Source organism: Homo sapiens, chromosome 17, assembly GCF_000001405.40.
Source record: "Homo sapiens chromosome 17, GRCh38.p14 Primary Assembly".
Lineage (NCBI taxonomy): Eukaryota > Metazoa > Chordata > Mammalia > Primates > Hominidae > Homo > Homo sapiens.
In genome coordinates, this window is record NC_000017.11 from 50271406 (window position 1) to 50288656 (window position 17251).

Genomic DNA, 17251 nt, shown 5'->3' on the forward strand with positions numbered 1-17251 from the left:
GTGTGATCTCAGCTCACTGCAGCCTTGAACTCCTAGGCTCAAGTGATCCTCCTACCTCAACCTCCAGAGTAACTGGGACTACAGGTACATGCCACCACACCGGCTTAATTGCTTTTGTTTTCTTTGTTTGCAGAGACAGGGTCTTGCTATGTTGCCCAGGCTGGTCTCAAACTCCTGGGCTCAAGTGATCTTCCTACCTCGGCCTCTCCAAGTGCTGGGGTTATAAGCGTGAGCCACTGTGCCTGGCCTGGTTGCCAGTTTTAACAAAGAAAAACACAGAACATCCCATTAAATGTGAATTTCAGATAGAAAAGTAAATTTTAGCATAAGTATGTCTCAAATATTGCATGGGCCCAGGTGTAGTAGCTCACGCCTGTAATCCCAACACTTTGGGAGGCCAAGGTGGGCATATCACTTGAGGCCAGGAGTTGGAGACCAGCCTGGCCAACAAGGTAAAACCCTGTCTCTACTAAAAATACAAAAAATTAGCTGGACATAGTGGCACATGCCTGTAATCCCAGCTACTTGGGAGGCTGAAGCATGAGAATTGCTTGAATCTGGGAGGTGGAGGTTGCAGTGAGCTCACACCACTCCATTCCAGTCTTGGTTCTCAAAAAATATATATATATTGCATGGGACATAATTATACTAAAATGAAATTATTCATCGTTTATCTGAAATTTGGATTTACCTGGGCCTCCTGTCTTTTGTCCGGCAACCCTAGATCTGGGTCAGGTTGATGCCAGAGACCCAGAGAGCAGCTATGCCAGCCTCCTCCCCCTCCTCCTGCCCCTCTTCAGGGCACTGGTGCCCGCCTAGTTCCCTCACCCCCACTCCTGCTGACCCCCCACATCTGTCCCTTGAGTTCCCACATGCCCTTCTCAGCACCCTCATTTCACCCCGCAGGGTATCTTCCTCCTCTAAGCTCAACCATTTTCCCATTTTCCTCTCCCGTAAGGGCCACACCTCTGTAGGGCTCCCAGCCTGGGCAGGATAGCAGGGAGTGTGGGGTAGAGACCCCAGGCCTTGCTGTTGCAGTGGGGCCTGGGTGGGGACAAGAAGAACCCTGGCAGCCCAAGTTGGCAACGACTCAAGAGGTGGAGGCTCCAGCACTCTCAGGACGAGGTCCCCCTGCCAAGGTCCACCTGCAGGGGAGGAGGGGAGACGGCGGCCCCTTCCCTTCTCCAAGCTCACAGTCACTTCAAATACAGAGGGGCCAGATCCCAATACCCCTCGGATCAGGAGACTAGAAGATTATCTTCTTAAGGGGCAAAAAGGGCTAGGAGGTAATGGGAAATAGAGACAGGGAAAGGGAGAGAGAGAGCAGGGAGACAGCATAAGAAACAGACCGAGAGACTGGGGGTGCAGGACCAAACCAGGGACAAGGAGAAGGGACCAGAGAAACCGAGAAAAACAGACGCCTCCGCCGAGGCAGACAGAGGTGAACAGAGAGAGGAGAAACAGACGGGAGAACAGAGGGAAAGGCTGGGAACTCGAGAGAAACTGGGTGCGGACAGATGGGAAGAAACCGAAACAGAAAAACAGAGGCTGGGAGAAACGGGGAGAGACACAGAGGGGTTAAATATAAGACAGAGAACATGACTGGGAGAGATGAGGGAGAAGGGTGAGAGGCAGAGAGCAAGGAAAGAGAAGAAACGCCCACGACGTCGGGGGTGTTTTTCAGGGGTCAAGACAGATTGGCGACACAGCAGGAGGCGCCCAAGGACATGACGTTGAGCCTCTCAGGGTCCCCCTTGGCCGGGCCAGGGAGCAGCGCCCCACGCTCCATCACCCCCTCTCCCCCTCCCGCGGTCCTGGCTGCACTGCTCCTGCCTCGCCCTCGCCCAGCGCCCCCAGCCCACAAGCCCCGGCCGCGCCCCTCCCGGCTCCCGGGGGCACCCGCGCTGGGCGACGCTGCCACCTGCCGGCCGCTCCCGGAAGCTCCGCGCCTGGAGTGCTGGAGGCGGCGGCCGCAGGGGGCTCAGAATCAGGCCCCTCCGCACTGGGGCGGCCTCCGCGGGGTCTTTCCAGGAATCTGGATGGGCCTGCTCGCCCGCGCCCCGGCGGGCCTGGCAGAGGACCAGCCCCAGCTGCGGACCCCGGGGCAGTCTAAACCCTGGGGCCTTGAGTTCCCGTTTTGTCAATGGGAGAAAATGCACCAACACCTCCTGTAGGATTTCAAGAGGGGAGGGGACACGAAGGTACCCACGTTGTGCTCCTGGTCTTCCTTCCTCGACCTGGAAATCTCAGGGCACTCTGAAATCAGCCAGGCTGCTCTGTCCCTCCCTTTTTGGTCAAAACACAATGGGGTGATATCCCCCAACCATAACCCCTCAAAATCTACCCTAGAACCTTCGCCTTCCCCTCCCTCAACCTCTGCCCCCATTTGACTTCTCACCAGACCCAGAGGTCCAGATAAGAAGGGGCTTCCACGTCCCCTTCCCACTCCCGCCGGTCCCGGCACCCCTCCCTGGAGTCTGGGGCACTTAGGAGTGGAGGAGTTGGGAGTTAGGAAGGCCCAGCTCAGCGGTGTGGAGTTGATCCCACCTCTTTTTAAATTTAGGTTATTTATTTATTTATTTATTTATTTAGAGATGGAGTCTCACTCCGTCGCCCAGGCTGGAGTGCACTGGCACGATCTCGGCTCACTGCAACCTCTGCTTCCCGGGTTCAAGCGATTCTCCTGCCTCAGGCTCCTGAGTAGTTGGGATTACAGGCACCCGCCACCACGCCCGGCTAAATTTTGTATTTCTAGTGGAGACGGGGGGTCTCACCATGTAGGCCAAGCTGGTCTCGAACTCCTGACCTGAAGTGATCCTCCCAAAGTGCTGGTATTACAGGCGTGAGCCACCGCGCCCGGGACCGCTTTTTTAAAAATCCGTTAATCTCTTCTACCTCCCAAATCCCAAAACCCAACCCAGACCTCTGCGCCTCCCTTCCTCCCTTCCTCCTCCCAGCCCCTCCCTGCCCCGAGTCCGCCTCTCCCGGTGCAGCTCCGCCCCCATCCCGAGGCGGGGCCCCATAGGTGGAGAGAAGTGGGAGAGGTCGCAGCCCCGCCTTCTCTACACAGGAAAGCTCAGTGGCCCCCAAGCCAGGATGTCCCAAGCTTGGGTCCCCGGCCTCGCGCCCACCTTGCTGTTCAGCCTGCTGGCTGGCCCCCAAAAGGTGAGACTGGGAGGTAAGGTTGTTGAACTTTTGGGCCCTACCCTTGTAGGTCAGGAGCCTGCTTCTGGAGCCTGGTCGCCACCTTCCAGAATCAGGATTTCCTCCTGACCACACACAGTTAGCTACTTCCTTTCTCTCTTTGCTGTGGAGGTGGAGGTGGGGGCAGCGGAGGAGGCTCTGGGAGAGGCTGGGTTCTCCCACCTCTGAGGGGGATCCTGTGGTGGGAAGTGGCCACCACCCACCACCTTATCTGACACCTAGCACGTCTCTGTGAATAGGGACTTTGGACCCCTTATTAGCCTCAGCTTATCCTTCCAGCTCCTTCCCGCCTGAGCTTTGGACACCTGGGCCAGCACTTAGCCCCAGCTCAGTTCCTCCAGTGCTGGGGGACCCTGGGATGTCCCCACCCTCTTTGGGACTGTGTCTCTGCTTGTTCCCTAGGGGAGAGAAGGCTCTTTTGTCCCCTTCTAGGGGTAAGTAATCCCAGCCTGTGGTGGGATTTGACCTGGCTGCCTGACCAAGGCTGGGGTGACCTCTGAAATCTGTGATTTTGAGAGGGAGGTGTAGGGTTCGAGTGTTCCCTCCGCCCTTCTGTTCCTCCCAAGTAAACTCTACAGGTGATGGGGGAAAGCTGTCCGGTCCTGGGATGGGTGTTTATCCTGGGAACAGAGACGGGTCTAGAACATGCATTTGTGTCTTATTTCCATTTAAGAACCGGAGGGAAGTCAGGGTCTTCCATAGTTAGGATTTTAGAACAGGGCACCTTCACACATCTGGGCTGAGCTTTCAGAGAGGCTCTGCCAAAACCCTTCCGTGGACCCGGGTTAGTGAGCAAGGTGTTCCTTCTAAATCACTGGGCGGTCAGTTTGTGTCAATGCTGGGCTGGGCATCCTCTGGTTTACCCCTCCCACCAACCCCAGGGGCGAGGTGCTGTTAATACCTTCAATTCTGGAGTTAAGTAAGCTGAGATTTACTTACTCCCAGCCCAAGACCACCCTGACGCTCCATAAAACTCAGCCTCTGAACCACCCCAGACAAGACTACCCCCTGGTTAAAATGTGGGGAGACAATCTGGGAGAAGAGCTCCTCCCCCTCCCAAACCGGAACTTGAGATTAATTTACTAAACCTGTTAATTATCCATTACTTATTAGCTGGGGTCCAGGAAAAGGACAAGGGCCAGAGTGGGGTCTGAGGGGGAAGGGGTGCTGTTGAGTGCCTGGATGGACCCCTCGATTTGTCTCCAAGTTCCCTCTCTGTATATATATATTTTTAATTTAAAGAATAGAGGCCAGGCGCAGTGGCTCACGCCTGTAATCCCAGCACTTTGAGAGGCCGAGGCAGGCAGATCGTGAGGTCAGGAGTTTCAGACCAGCCTGACCAACAACCCCATCTCTACTAACAATACAAAAATTAGCCAGGCATGGTGGCACGTGCCTGTAATCCCAGCTACTTGGGAGGCTGAGGCAGGAGTATCACTTGAACCTGGGAGGCGGAGGTTGCAGTGAGCCGAGATCGCACCACTGCACTCCAGCCTGGGCAACAGAGCTAGACTCCATCTCCAAAAAGAAAAAAAAAGAAAAAAGAAAAAAGAATAGAGACAGGGTCTCGCTATGTTGGCCAGGTTGGTCTTAAACTCCCGGCCTCAAGCAATCCACCCACCTCAGCCTCCCAAGGTATTTAGGATTACAGGGATGAGGCACCGCACCCAGCCTGTCTCCAATTCTATAGTCATTCCTGTGTGCTGTGTGATTTGGATTCACAGACTCACCCTTTCTGGGCCAACCTGCAGGGGTTCCTTCCTGTTCCTGTCCCCACAAGGGGACAAAGCCTGTGAGATGGTACTCAGCCTGGGACTGAGCGTGGAAAAGGGGAATTACCCCAACTCTTATTGGCTATCACTGGTATTCTTATCTTTACTGTTGTGATTTGCAATTGAAATATTTTATAAAGGTATAAAGATAAAGATAACGGTGGTTTTGCCAAAGCTGGCTTCCTATTTTTTAGCCTTGGTTGTTTGTCCCAGGAGGCTAGGGTGGGGTGAGAGATGCCCTTCCCCACCACCCATTTCCTATGTTCTGGCACCTACATCCCTCCCCCACAGTCTGGGAGCAGCCAGGATGAAATGAAACTAGGTAATTGATGAATGCACGTTCATTCATTCTGCAAATATTTTGACTACTGGGTTTTCAACAATGATGCAGCAAAAATCCCTGCCCTCGCGGAGTTTGCCTTTTACACAACTGAAGGACAATTAACAAGATAAAGTAAATATATAGTATGTTAGATGTTGACAAGAGGTGTGGAGAAAAGTTAAGCACACTAAGGGAAAAGGGTGGTTGTAATTTTGAATAAGGTAACTGGAGAGGGAGGAGCTGGAGCCAGCCTTGCAGCCACCTAGAAGAGTGTTCCAAGTCAGTGTGGCTTTGACACACAATTGCTATCAATGGAGGGAAATTCTGTAAGATGCCCTGGGTGCCCTGCAGACCTGGTACAGAAGAGGGGGAAGCTGATTTGGGAGGCGGGGTCCTGGCAGCTTTGCAGAGCATGGAATCCCTTAGGCAGGGATCTGAAGGATGAATGGAGGCTTGGACAGGTGTAAAACAGCCAGGTATGTTCAGGGAACTCCCAGCGGGTGTGTGTGAGAGGAAGAGAAAGAACTAGGGGAAGCGAAAGGGGAGGGAGTGCAGCTGCTCACTCGGGAGGTCTCTACCCCAGGGAGCCACCGAAGGGGGCTTCCAGCAAGATTCTTTGGTGATGAGATTTGCATTATAGGAAGAGTCCTCCTGCCCACAGTGTCTGCAGTGACTGAAGGTGGGATAAGGAAAGTCGCTAGTGCCCTGAGCCATGGGTGTCACGGTGGAAGCCAGGTTGGAAGGGTGGTCAGAAGGGATGAGCTTACAAACCCGGGGGTGATGGAATGTGCTGAGAGAGGAAGGGGAGCTGGGGCCAGCCAGGGGTCAGTTGGGCTCCAAGCACTGACCTGGGAACACGGTGGAGTGAGGTGGGGGGTGGCTTGCAGGAAGAGGCTGAGTCTACTGGGGACCTGCTGCCTGTGAGGTACCTGGGCAGCATCTGAGTGGAGACCCTACCCCCACTATCCCCAGTTTATGACCCTGACCCCCGACCTCTCTTTTCTTCCACAGATTGCAGCCAAATGTGGTCTCATCCTGTAAGTCTAGAGGCCATAACTTCCAATCTGGGGAGCGGGGAGGAGCAACCTAAATCATGCCCTGCATGCCTTGGGGGGTGTGGGAGGCCAGAAACTCCATCCGTCCTCAGTCCCAATCCAGCCAGAAACTGTCCCCCCACTTTCCCAGCCAAAGAGGGAGACCCCACCCTCTACCTCCACCAACAAACTCGGGGACTTCCACACTTGCAGGCAGGTCTGTAGCTGGATCCCGGTCCTTCCTACTGCAGTGCCAGGCTGTCTCCCCTCTGAGGGTCCCCTGGGTCGGAGGCAGGGGGCTAACCCTAAGAGAGAAATCCCAGAAGCCTGAGCACAAGGTGGAATTTGGGTAAGGGTCACTGGGCAGAAAAGTGTTTCCATTAGGTCAGCCCTGGGTGTTCTGAAAGCACCGTTCTCTGACCCCTCATACTCCATGGGCGCCAGCGAGAACTGGCTCTTCCTGGACATGCCACGTGGCCTCTTTCCCCGCACCTCCTTAGAGTTGGATGAGGAGTGTCATGGCCGCTGCAATGCCCCTTCCCCACACCTGCCTGCTGAGGTCAACAGGATACTTCTTCTACCCGTGTTACAGATGAGGGGCGTGGGGCCCAACAGGGAGCCGTACTGGGCACAAGTGCACACGCCCTTCCCCAGAGTCCTCCTACTGAGCTCAGAGCGGGGGCCATACCCCCCACCCCACTAAGGGGTGGCTTGTGCCATGAGCATCTTGGGTGTATTTTGGGGAGGCTGGGATCCTTCTGCCTCTCCATTCTGGTGCCAGCAACTTCTCCTTGCCCTTTTCTGTGCCCTCTGACCAGTGCCTGCCCCAAAGGATTCAAATGCTGTGGTGACAGCTGCTGCCAGGAGAACGAGCTCTTCCCTGGCCCCGTGAGGTGAGCCCAGGGCCAGCTCCTTTGGGTGCAGTCCTTGGAGGGGCCTGGTCCTGTGTGGACAAGGCCAGGCACCTGCCGAGGGGGCAGTGTGGGCGGCGGGAGCGGGGAGATGTAGGGAGTCCCCAGGGTGGCCTGGGGACTCAGGGTACTCTTGGTGGTCCCCACCCCAGGATCTTCGTCATCATCTTCCTGGTCATCCTGTCCGTCTTTTGCATCTGTGGCCTGGCTAAGTGCTTCTGTCGCAACTGCAGAGAGCCGGAGCCAGACAGCCCAGTGGATTGCCGGGGGCCCCTGGAACTGCCCTCCATCATCCCCCCAGAGAGGGTCAGAGTATCCCTTTCTGCGCCCCCACCCCCCTACAGTGAGGTGGGTGTCTCATCCCCATCCCCACCTTGCCTCTGGCCGGCTGTGCAGCAGAGACAGTGGAGGGCCCTTCGATCCTGGAGGGCACTCTGCACCCAGCATTGGGTCACCCCTCTCCCTGGTAACCATGCCTCAGCTGGGATGGGGGAGTGGTGGCCAGGGCCAGGGCCCAGAAGACTGAATTCTCTCTTTTCCCTGCAGGTGATTCTGAAGCCCAGCCTGGGCCCAACTCCCACAGAGCCACCCCCTCCCTACAGCTTCAGGCCTGAAGAATATACCGGGGATCAGAGGGGCATTGACAACCCGGCCTTCTGAGTCACCTCCTGCCTGGAATCTTGCCATCAGCAACCTCCTCCCCAGTGCCTCCTGGATCAAGCTAGAGACTGCTGGCACCCCAGGAATGTCCCTGCCCATCCTGCCGTGTCTCTGTTCATTCTTGGATTTAACTTATTACTTTTTCTGCTTCTGTTTCCACCCCAGCTGCCTCTCTTGTCCTGAGGGTTAGGCTGGAGTGACAGTTTCCGCCCACCCCCCAGCCCAAGAAAGAGGCTGCCGGAAAGAAAATGCTGACCATTGGAGGTGCCCAACAGTAGAATGGGCTACTGTGAGGGGTAGTAAGAGCCCCATTTCTGGAGGTATGCAAATCTTGACTGGACAGCCAGCTCTGAGATTTTATCAGGGCACTTCTATACCTGTGGGACATTGGACTGGATGAGCCCTGAGCCAGCTTCCACTCCTACCTGAATAGAGAACTCACTGCACCCACCCACAACACATGATAAACACATGTCCTCACTGAATGTTACTGATTGCGGCTGAGGGCCTGCCTCTGGCTGTGTGGGGAGGTGGGTGGAGAGGTGAGCCCAGGCACTGCTGAGGGGTGCGGTGATGGGGTCGCTGCGCCGCAATCCCACCACTGATGAGCCACCTGGGAGGTCTGGGAGGACAGTCCATCCATGGGCCGCCCTCGGAGAGAGGCTTGTTCTAGATGTATTGGCTGTCTGTTTTTTGATGTCTCTGTGTGCCAAACAGCCTGGAAATGGGGTACGCGTGTCCCTTGTGTGGGTTTCCCAATCCCTTCCGCCCAAGGCTTTCCTGGGACACATGGAGCCCAGCTCTCTGGCTGTCTTACCATGAGAAGTTGGTAAGTTGGCTGTGAGGGGGTTGGATCCAGGAAGCAGCCCTGGGACAGCCCATTCTGCTGTTGATAGCAGGAAACCACCTGCTGGGAGACAATGGGGGTGGGGAAAAGCCCAGGAGAGCAGTGGGTGGGGCTGGGCATCCGTGGAGTGGGGCTTTAGGAGACCTTGAACGGCCCCACCCTGGAATCTCCTACAGGAAGGTGAGGAGGTGGCAGGTTCCACCCTTCTCTACCAGCCCCGCTCGCTCGTGGGAGTTAACCCCCTAGGGGAGAAGAGTCTTCACTGGGGTTCGACCCATGGGGGCCTGGCATAGTCATGCAGAATGGGGCGGGACAATGCCAATGCCTTGGGACTCAGACAGGGCTGAGTGCCTCCACCCTGATTTTTGCCTCTGCACTGCGCCCCCACAGCCCACTCAATGCCAGCCTCCTTCTCCAGGCAGAGAGCCCCATGTCAATGCTGGCCAAAGCTCTCAGGAGGATTGGAGGTAGAACTGGCCCTGGTATGCCAACAGGGGTGCCTCTTTTAGTGCTCTCCCAATAATGCTCATCCTGGGGGCATCAGGACGCAGGCAGGTGGCAGAGCTGGGGGCAGCTTGATGGCACAGGCAGCCCCAAAGATGCCAGGAACAGGGACTGTCCGGGTGTGGGTTCCCAGTGAGATAGGGCCCTGGAAGGAGTGCAGCAGTTACTGACAATATAGTGCCAGGGTTGGCCATAGGAGAATGAGCCCAAGCGTAAGTGGAAGTTTCCCTTTACTTTCAGGGATTGGTCAGGGGTGGCAGAAAACATGTGGGTTCTTTGTGTAGATGTGGCTAGTTCCAATTAGAGAAGTCCTGCAGCTGATGTTGCCCTCACCGTGATAGCAGGAGGATGTTGAGAAATGGGCTTGGGAGACCTGGAGGAGAAGTTACCCTCGGCCCAGACGTTGCCTTCCTTTCATCACAGGGCCTTTAACTCCTCCTAGGGAGTAGCAGAGTGGCCCTAGGGAAAGTGGCCATCCTGAAACCTAGTGTTGCTGTGACCTGGTGACAGAAATGGAAACCTCTGTGGCTCTTCTGGTCATCCTTGGTGGGAGTGGGAATGGTGTCACCTTTCTAGAGGGCCATCTGGCACCATGTAATCACGCCACAGATCTTTACGAAGCTCCTGCTATGTAGGAAACACTATGCCTGGCACTGGGTATCCATTAAAATGTAAAATGCACGTGACCTGGCAATTCCACTTCTAGAAATGAGCCTTCAGAAGTGCTCATACAAAAGAGCTCAATAAGTATCATGCACTAATTCATTGTGCCACCAGAGCTCCCTATGCAGCCTTTTAAAAGAATAAATAGGATCTGTAGCACCAACCCTGCAAAGCATCCATCACTTATTGTTACAGAGAAAAGGCAAGTTGCGGAACTGCCTATGATCTCAGTTTGTAAGGATATAACCCACACATATTTTATTTTATATATGTATATTTTTTCTTTGCAAATATGTAGATAAGATCTAGAAGGATGTAAGTCAATCACTCACCACACTTCCAATAGTTGTTGGCCCCAAGAGTGGGATGTAGGTAGCAAATTGCAAGCGGGTCTTCTTCCTTTGTATGCTTTGGCACTGTGTGTTTTTTACAATCAGCAAGCATTGCTTTTGTAAATTTAGAGATTTGTTTACGGGAAACTGTAGGCAGCTTTAGAAGTTTATGAAGATTTGCCTTGTGAACTTTGATCAATGGCAACTGATAAATTATCAGCCCTGGTATGTGGAAGAGAATACAAGGACTTTAGACTGTGGTACCCACCTGACATGGATGTGACCCAGGGGACAGACACATGATGGGAAAGCCTGGATGCCTGCCAGACATACATGAAGCCCACATCTCAGACCTATGCAGGACTTATGAGGTGTATAATGAATGACAGAAACAGTGAGCTGGCTAGTTGGGTGAATGAGCAGTTTCACAGTGACGGAGAATTTCATCCCTCGTGGCTGGTTTAGTTGCTCAAACCCAATGAGTGAATAATGAAAGATGGAATGAATGAATGAAGATTAAATGGGTGCATGAATGAATGAATGAATGAATGAATGAAGAGATCTGCCACCAGATATTTGTAAAGAAACACAGTCTAGTTAACATCAAGGAGATGTTCCTCGTGGCTGTGCAGTTGAATTTCTATCTGCAGGGACTCCCCAGAGGACAGGGAAATGCAGGAAAGGCTGTAGGGTGGGGGGCATGTTGAAGCAGGAAGGCCTTAAGGCACTTGCTCCAGGGATGCAGGAGGGGAGGAGAAAGGGGCTGCTGCTGAGGGAAGTGAGGAGAGGGATAAACACCAGCAGGAATCTTACCTCACCTTCCAGCTGAGATGCAGGACTCCAGCTTCTGACATTTCGCCTTCTGCATCCAACATCTCCAGGCGTTGGTGTGCCCATCTGTACAGTGAAGAGCGTGGCCCCTTCTGGCTCTGGTAGGACGTAGCTCTGAATCCAAAGTTGGGAAGGGGCCCAACACGGTAGCTCATGCCTGTAATCCCAGCACTTTGAGAGGCTGAGGTGGGTAAATCACTTGAGGTCAGGAATTCGAGACCAGCCTGGCCAACATGGTGAAATCCTGTCTACTAAAAGCACAAAAATTAGCTGGGCGTGGTGGTGGGCACCTGTAATCCCAGCTACTTGGGAGGGTAAGGCACGAGAATCGCTTGAACCTGGGTGGCGGAGGTTGCAGTGAGCTGAGATCACGCCACTGTACTCCAGCCTGGGTGACAGAGCGAGACTCCGTCTCAAAACAAATAAACAAACAAACAAAAAACAAAGTTGGGAAGGGCCAAGTAAGAATATTCAGAGAAGCTCCTTAACACCAACAGGCTTTCCTCCACTCTACCTTGGCCACAGTCTCAAGTGGACATACCTTATCTTGTCAGCTCTGATCACCTCAAGCCTCCCACTCTGAACATCACCTCCTGTACTTCCAGCTCAGGTAGGTCCTATGTCACCACCACACCATGCCAGCAATTCTCTGAGCCCACCCAGCCCTCTGAACCAGCAGTCTTTGCCTGTTGGCAGCGCCATCACCATGTCCTTAAACCATCCTTACAGTCACTACCCTGCATCCTTTACCCCTTTTCCCCATTCACTGTGCTCACCCAGAGAAACTCCAAACTCCAAACTCCAGTTGGATCCAACTATGGCTCAAGAACCAGCACCCCTGTGTGACTAGACTCATTTCCAAATCAAAACCACACGTTTCGCGCAGGCCCTCGGTTCCTCCAATGTGCTTTCACAGCTTCACTTCCCCGCTCTTGAAATGACTCATTTCAAATCTCCCACACCCCCAACCTCAATTTCAGCTGGCAATGCCACCACACGCTTCAGAGAAAGAAAGGATGCACCCACACCAGCACACCTCACCTCCATGCCCCACACTTGCCACCCAGTATCCACGCGTGCCCCCTTCCCCCGCCAGAGCACAGTGGAAGCTGCATCGTGCTCCTCCAGCCTGCACTGGGCCCCAGCCCTCCTGCTCCTTAGGGCCTGGCCCTGCAGTTGTCTCTGCAGAGCCTTTCTCCCCTTCCCGGATCATTATCATCCGCTTATAACATGCCCACCCTTCCTCCTTTAGAAACTCTCCCTGGAGGCCCCCAGCCCTTCTGGCATCTGCTGTTCCACCTCCCCCCTCCCCACTTTCATTCTGTGCTGCTCCAAGCAGCCGTTTGTCCCCACCGTTACAGGAGATGACTCTAGTCCAGATCATCAGTGACCTACATGTCACCAAGGCCAAAGGTCCCTTCCCCTGCCTATCTCTCAGTGGCATTTGACACGCTTGGCCATGGCCTCCTTACCTGTTCTTCCAATGTCTCCGACTCCACCTTCCCCTGGTTTCCCTCCTCCACATGGCCTTCTCCTCAGGAGCCTTCACTTCCCCCTCCTCCTCCGCCCTCTCTCAGTGATGGCTGCCCCGGAGGTCTGTCTTGGGGTCTCCGGTCTTCATCTTTGTTCATTCCCATAGTGGCTGTCATCCTGATCTGCGGCTTCACAGACCATCTCTGGTCTGATGAATCTCAAGACTTAATCTCCCGCCGAGACTTCTCCCTGGGACTCAGATTCACATATTTAACTACCTCACGCCTCCTCTTGGATGCCTAATGAGCATCTCCCAGCCAAAAGCAGGCTCGAATTTCCCTCCACCACCCCCTCAAATCCAGTCCTTCCCAAGGTCTCCTATCATAAATAGATGTCGCTCCCCATTCGCCCAGCTGTGTAGGCTAAAACACTAAGAAATTATTGTGATTTCTTTTTCCCTCACTCCATCATCCTGACAGCGCTGCCTGCAAAATAGACCTAGGCCCACTTATTCCCATTTCACGGTTACAGCCCTCGACCAAGCCACCTTCATCCCTAGCCCAGCCTATCCTAATGAACTACCTGATTTCTGCCTCCAGGCTTGTCTCCATCTCACCCCCTGCAGTTTATCCCACACACTGCACTTAGGGAGATCTTTCTAAAGCGCAAACAAGACTTGTTATTCCCGTGCTTAAAATCCTCCAATGAGGCAGAGGTTGCAGTGAGCTGAGATCGTGCCACTGCACTCCAGCCTGGGTGACACAGCGAGACTCCGTCTCAAAAAAAAAATCCTCCAATGGGCTGGGCGCCATGTCTCACTCCTGTAATACCAGCACTTTGGGAGGCCAAGGTGGGAGGGAAGATCGATTGAGCCCAGGAGTTCGAGACCAGCCTGGGCAACATAGAGAGACCTCTGTCTCTACAAAAAAATACAAAAAGTATGTTTGTATTTTTTGGCTTCACTCATGGTGGTGTGAGTCTGTGGTCCCAGCTATCCGATGGCAGGGCGGGGTAGTGCGGAGGTGGGGCAGGGGGAGACTGAGGTGGGACGATTGCTTAAGAGATCAAGAGGTTGAAGCTGCAGTGAGCTGTGATCGCACCACTGTACTCCAGCCTGGGTGACAGAGCGAGACCCTATTCAAAAAAAAATTTTTTTTAAAGTTGCCCATTGGAATAAACTTCAAACCCCTGACCGTAGCTGGCAGGACTTAGGCAGTGTGTGGCCCCTCCCTTGCCCTCAAGCGTCTTCTCCTACTTCTCCTCCCTTCTCACTGCGTGGCAGCCACAGTTGCCTTCTCTCTGGGACTTGACTATCCCAAATCTTGGCCTGGCCCAGGGCCTTTGGTGGCTTTTCTGCTTGGAACTTCCCTCCCTCCCAATGCCCTCCTCCCAGTCTTCACAGGGCTGCTGTATTTTCACCATTCAGGTTCCCAGAGGGGTCAGCATATGCAAAGGCCTGAGGAGGGAAGGAGCTTGGGGGCTGGAGAAACTTAAACGAGACCCTTCCTTCCTTCAAAACCCCCTAAGATTCTGCAGGGTTCGGTGGCATGTACCTGTAGTCCCAGCTGCTCCGCAGGATGAAGCGGGAGGATCAAGTGAGCCCAGGAGTTCAAGGTTGCAGTACACCATGACTGCACTTGTGAACAGCCACTGCTCTTTTAAAAAATAAAAACCCCTTGTCGGGGCACGGTGGCTCAGGCCTGTAATCCCAGCACTTTGGGAGGTCTAGGCGGGAGGGTAGCTTGAGCCCAGAAGTTCGAGACTAGCCTGGGCAACAAAGTGAAACCCCATCTCTACAAAAAATAAATAAAAATGAAATACCCCAAGAGTCTGAAAAGAGGGTTATGTGTTTCCTCAGGCTGCTGTAGCAAAGAACCACAGAGTGGGTGGCTTAAAAGAGCAGAAATTTATTATCTCTCAGTTCTGGAGGCCAGAAGTCTGAAATCCAAGCATGGCTAAGGTTGCCCTTGCCTATCTTCTGGCGGCTGTGGCCCTTAGCTTATGGCTGCCCTCCAGACTCTGCCTCTACAGCACAGAGCATTCCCTCCCTCCCTCCCTTCCTTCCTTCATTCCTTACTTCCTTCCTTCCTTCCCCTCCCTCCCTTCCCTTTCTTCCTCTCTCCCTTTCTCTCTCTCTTTTCTTTTTTCTTCCTTTCTTTCTTTTTTTCTTTCTTTGTCTTTCTTTCTCTTTGTTTCTTTTTCTTTCCTTCCTTCCTTCTTTCTTTTTTCAGAGACAGGGTCTCGCTCTGTCACCCAGGCTGGAGTACAGTGGGGTGATTATAGCTCACTGCAGCCTGGAACTCCTGGGCTTGAGCAATCCTCCTGCCTCAGCCTCCCGAAGCACTGGGATTACAGGTGCAAGCCATCATGCCTAGCCTATCATTTTCTTCTGTGTCTATGCGTGTCCCCCTTTTCTGTCTCTGATAAGAACACTCTTCGTTGGATTTGGACTTCACCCTAAACTAGAATGATCTCATCTCAAGATCCTTATCTTAATTACACTTGAAAAGACCCTTATTTCAAATAAGGTCACACTCGTAGGTTTTGGCTGAAGATACATAATTTAACCCACGAGGGAGGATATATTTCTAGGCATTTAATCTGGGTGGGATCCCTGAGGCAGGAGGACCTCAGAGGTCACCTGAAAAAGCATATCTCTAAGCATATTCCCTGAAAAACTAGTTCCAAGTGATTTTTTTTCTAGAGGATTTTTTTAAGGGTGGGGGGAGCATTCTGTGTTCAGATAAATTTGGAAAATGCTGCGTATACCTCCCACACTAGAAGATTCACAGTTCACCTTAGTGTATTAAAGGGCTGAGAATTCACGGTAAAGAAGCATTATGTATTTATGGAAAGCATCATTTCCCTAGTTTATTTCACCATAAAACCCCATTTTCTTTCTCATAATCTCCGTAGCATTTTCAGATCATATCAGCCTGTGGAAATTCAAGAGGAATGTTGATGTGAGCCAACCTTGTCTTACTTTAGCTGAGAAGATCAACATCCAGAAAAGGACAAATGACTTATCCAAGGTCACACTGCTGAGAGGGTCGGAAGTTGATTTAAAACTCAGCCTCCTCAAAATGATAGCGATGGAGACACATTAGTTGTTGATGGGGAGAGAGTGGGTATGGCTACACAGAGGTCTCACCAGAGAGATCTGTTTGGTGGGGGAGCAGTTCTGCATTTTACTTGAAGAGGTAGTAGTTACACAAATTTGCATGTGATAAAACAACACAGAATTAGGCACACACATTATACCCACGTCAGTTTCCTGGCTTTGATACTTTACATAAGATGTAACCCTTGGAGGGCCTGGCACGGTGGCTTACCCCTGTAATCCCAGCACTTTCGGAGGCTGAGGTGGGCAGATCACCTGAGGTCAGGAGTTTGAGACCAGCCTGGCCAACATAGTGAGACCCCGTCTCTACTAAACATACAAAAATTAGCCAGGAGTGGTGGCACGCACCTGTGCCAGCTACTCCAGAGGGTGAAGCAAGAGAATTGCTGAAACCCAGGAGGCGGAGTTTGCAGTGAGCTGAGATCACACCACTGCATTCTAGCCTCGGGGACAAGAATGAAACTCCATCTCAAAAAAAAAAAAAAAAAAAAGAGATGTAACCCTGTAACCCTTGGAGGTCAGGTGCCTCCTGCCTGTAATCCCAGTGCTTTCGGAGGCTGAAGCAGGAGGGTTGCTTGAGCCCAGGAGTTCAAGACAAGTCTGCGCAATATAGTGAAACCCCGTCTCTATAAAAAATTAGCCAGGCATGGTGGCACATACCTGTAGTCCCAGCTCAGGGGCTGGGACTATGGGACTACTTGGGAGGCTGAGGTGGGAGGATCGCTGAAGCTCAGGAGTTTGAGGTTGCAGTGAACTATGGTCATGCCACTGCACAGCAGCCTGGGCAACAGAGCAAGGACCTGTCTGGAAAAAAAAATTGAGAGAAATTTGGCAAAGAAAATTGGGACCACTTTGTACTATCTTTGCAACTTCCTGTGAATCTATAATAATTTCAAAATAAAAAGTATGAAAAACTGGTTTCCTGTCTCCAGGTTCCAGAGCTTTTAACACTGTCAAAGGTCATTAGATCAAATTTAGGTTTATGCTCTGCTATTCATATGCTTCTAGTACCCAATAAAAAGCACTGTTTATGGGCTGGGTGCAGTGGCTCATGCCTGTAATCCCAGCGCTTTGGGAGGTTGAGGCAGGCAGATTACCTAAGGCCAGGATTTTGAGACCGGCCTGGCCAACATGGTGAAACCCCATCTGTACTAAAAATAGAAAAATTAGCTAGGCATGGTGGCACACACCTGTAGCCCCAGCTACTTGGGAGGCTGAGGCAGAAGGATCACTTGAGCCTGGGAGGTCGAGACTGCAGTGAGCTGCGATCACTTTGGAGGCTCAAGAAGACAATTTTGTGTTTTGACACAGCAATAGCAGAACTTTCATCAACAATTAGATTCAGAACAGGTTATACTGCACACATTTTTGCCACATGCCCAGCCATCTGGCTTCTCTTGGAATTGTCTCCATCTGCCCCCACCCCCACCCTCATTCACATAATGACTGTGGAACTGGGGGCAGCCATTTGATCCTACTTCTCTGGCTACGGTTGACTGGTTCAGGGGTGGGCACTGATCCAATCTGGGCCAATCAGAGCCCTTCCCTGAGAATTTTCTATTTGGAGCTCAGGGAAT

The 17251-nt window shown here is 52.7% G+C and overlaps 1 protein-coding gene and 1 long non-coding RNA gene across 3 annotated transcripts, besides 5 other annotated features; one reads left to right on the forward strand and one right to left on the reverse strand.

Annotated features, from left to right (window-relative positions):
* Window positions 1–10080, forward strand: TMEM92 (transmembrane protein 92). 2 transcript variants are annotated; one of them, NM_001168215.2, is made up of 6 exons: window positions 1–84; window positions 3071–3165; window positions 6310–6335; window positions 7151–7225; window positions 7396–7591; window positions 7790–10080. In NM_001168215.2, the coding sequence occupies exons 2-6, from the start codon at window positions 3097–3099 to the stop codon at window positions 7901–7903; spliced, it is 480 nt and encodes a 159-aa protein (NP_001161687.1). In that variant the 5' UTR covers window positions 1–84; window positions 3071–3096; the 3' UTR covers window positions 7904–10080. The 2 variants fall into 2 exon arrangements, with proteins under 2 accessions (NP_001161687.1, NP_694961.2); NM_153229.3 differs by lacking the exon at window positions 1–84 and having other exon boundaries at window positions 3061–3165.
* Window positions 1666–2005: a silencer, noted in NCBI's record as "silent region_8692". NCBI's record gives its function as "represses an Ori minimal core promoter by ATAC-STARR-seq in GM12878 lymphoblastoid cells {active_cell/tissue: GM12878}" and the evidence as "EXISTENCE:reporter gene assay evidence [ECO:0000049][PMID:35858748]".
* Window positions 3143–3437: a silencer, noted in NCBI's record as "tiled region #4171; K562 Repressive DNase matched - State 4:PromP". NCBI's record gives its function as "represses a minimal TATA promoter and a strong SV40 promoter by Sharpr-MPRA in K562 cells {active_cell/tissue: K562}" and the evidence as "EXISTENCE:reporter gene assay evidence [ECO:0000049][PMID:27701403]".
* Window positions 5565–6112: an enhancer, noted in NCBI's record as "H3K4me1 hESC enhancer chr17:48354331-48354878 (GRCh37/hg19 assembly coordinates)". NCBI's record gives its function as "activates a minimal SCP1, AML or CMV promoter by ChIP-STARR-seq in naive H9 embryonic stem cells {active_cell/tissue: H9 hESC(naive)}" and the evidence as "EXISTENCE:reporter gene assay evidence [ECO:0000049][PMID:30033119]".
* Window positions 6113–6660: an enhancer, noted in NCBI's record as "H3K27ac-H3K4me1 hESC enhancer chr17:48354879-48355426 (GRCh37/hg19 assembly coordinates)". NCBI's record gives its function as "activates a minimal SCP1, AML or CMV promoter by ChIP-STARR-seq in primed H9 embryonic stem cells {active_cell/tissue: H9 hESC(primed)}" and the evidence as "EXISTENCE:reporter gene assay evidence [ECO:0000049][PMID:30033119]".
* On the reverse strand, window positions 10174–16450 carry TMEM92-AS1 (TMEM92 antisense RNA 1). The gene is made up of 4 exons (NR_125805.1): window positions 16335–16450; window positions 12553–12802; window positions 11063–11146; window positions 10174–10471 (listed from the first exon to the last, which is right to left on the reverse strand). It is a non-coding gene; the product is annotated as a TMEM92 antisense RNA 1 (long non-coding RNA).
* Window positions 12237–12286: a silencer, noted in NCBI's record as "silent region_8693". NCBI's record gives its function as "represses an Ori minimal core promoter by ATAC-STARR-seq in GM12878 lymphoblastoid cells {active_cell/tissue: GM12878}" and the evidence as "EXISTENCE:reporter gene assay evidence [ECO:0000049][PMID:35858748]".
* Window positions 16451–17251: the final 801 nt, after the last annotated feature.

Excerpts from the sequence above, each read along its gene's own strand:
- TMEM92 (NM_001168215.2), top strand. The coding sequence starts at position 3,097 with ATGTCCCAAGCTTGGGTCCCCGGCCTCGCGCCCACCTTGCTGTTCAGC. Across the intron at positions 6,336-7,150 it reads GCCAAATGTGGTCTCATCCT|TGCCTGCCCCAAAGGATTCA; the intron begins GTAAGTCTAGAG and ends CCCTCTGACCAG. Across the intron at positions 7,592-7,789 it reads CCCCACCCCCCTACAGTGAG|GTGATTCTGAAGCCCAGCCT; the intron begins GTGGGTGTCTCA and ends TTTTCCCTGCAG.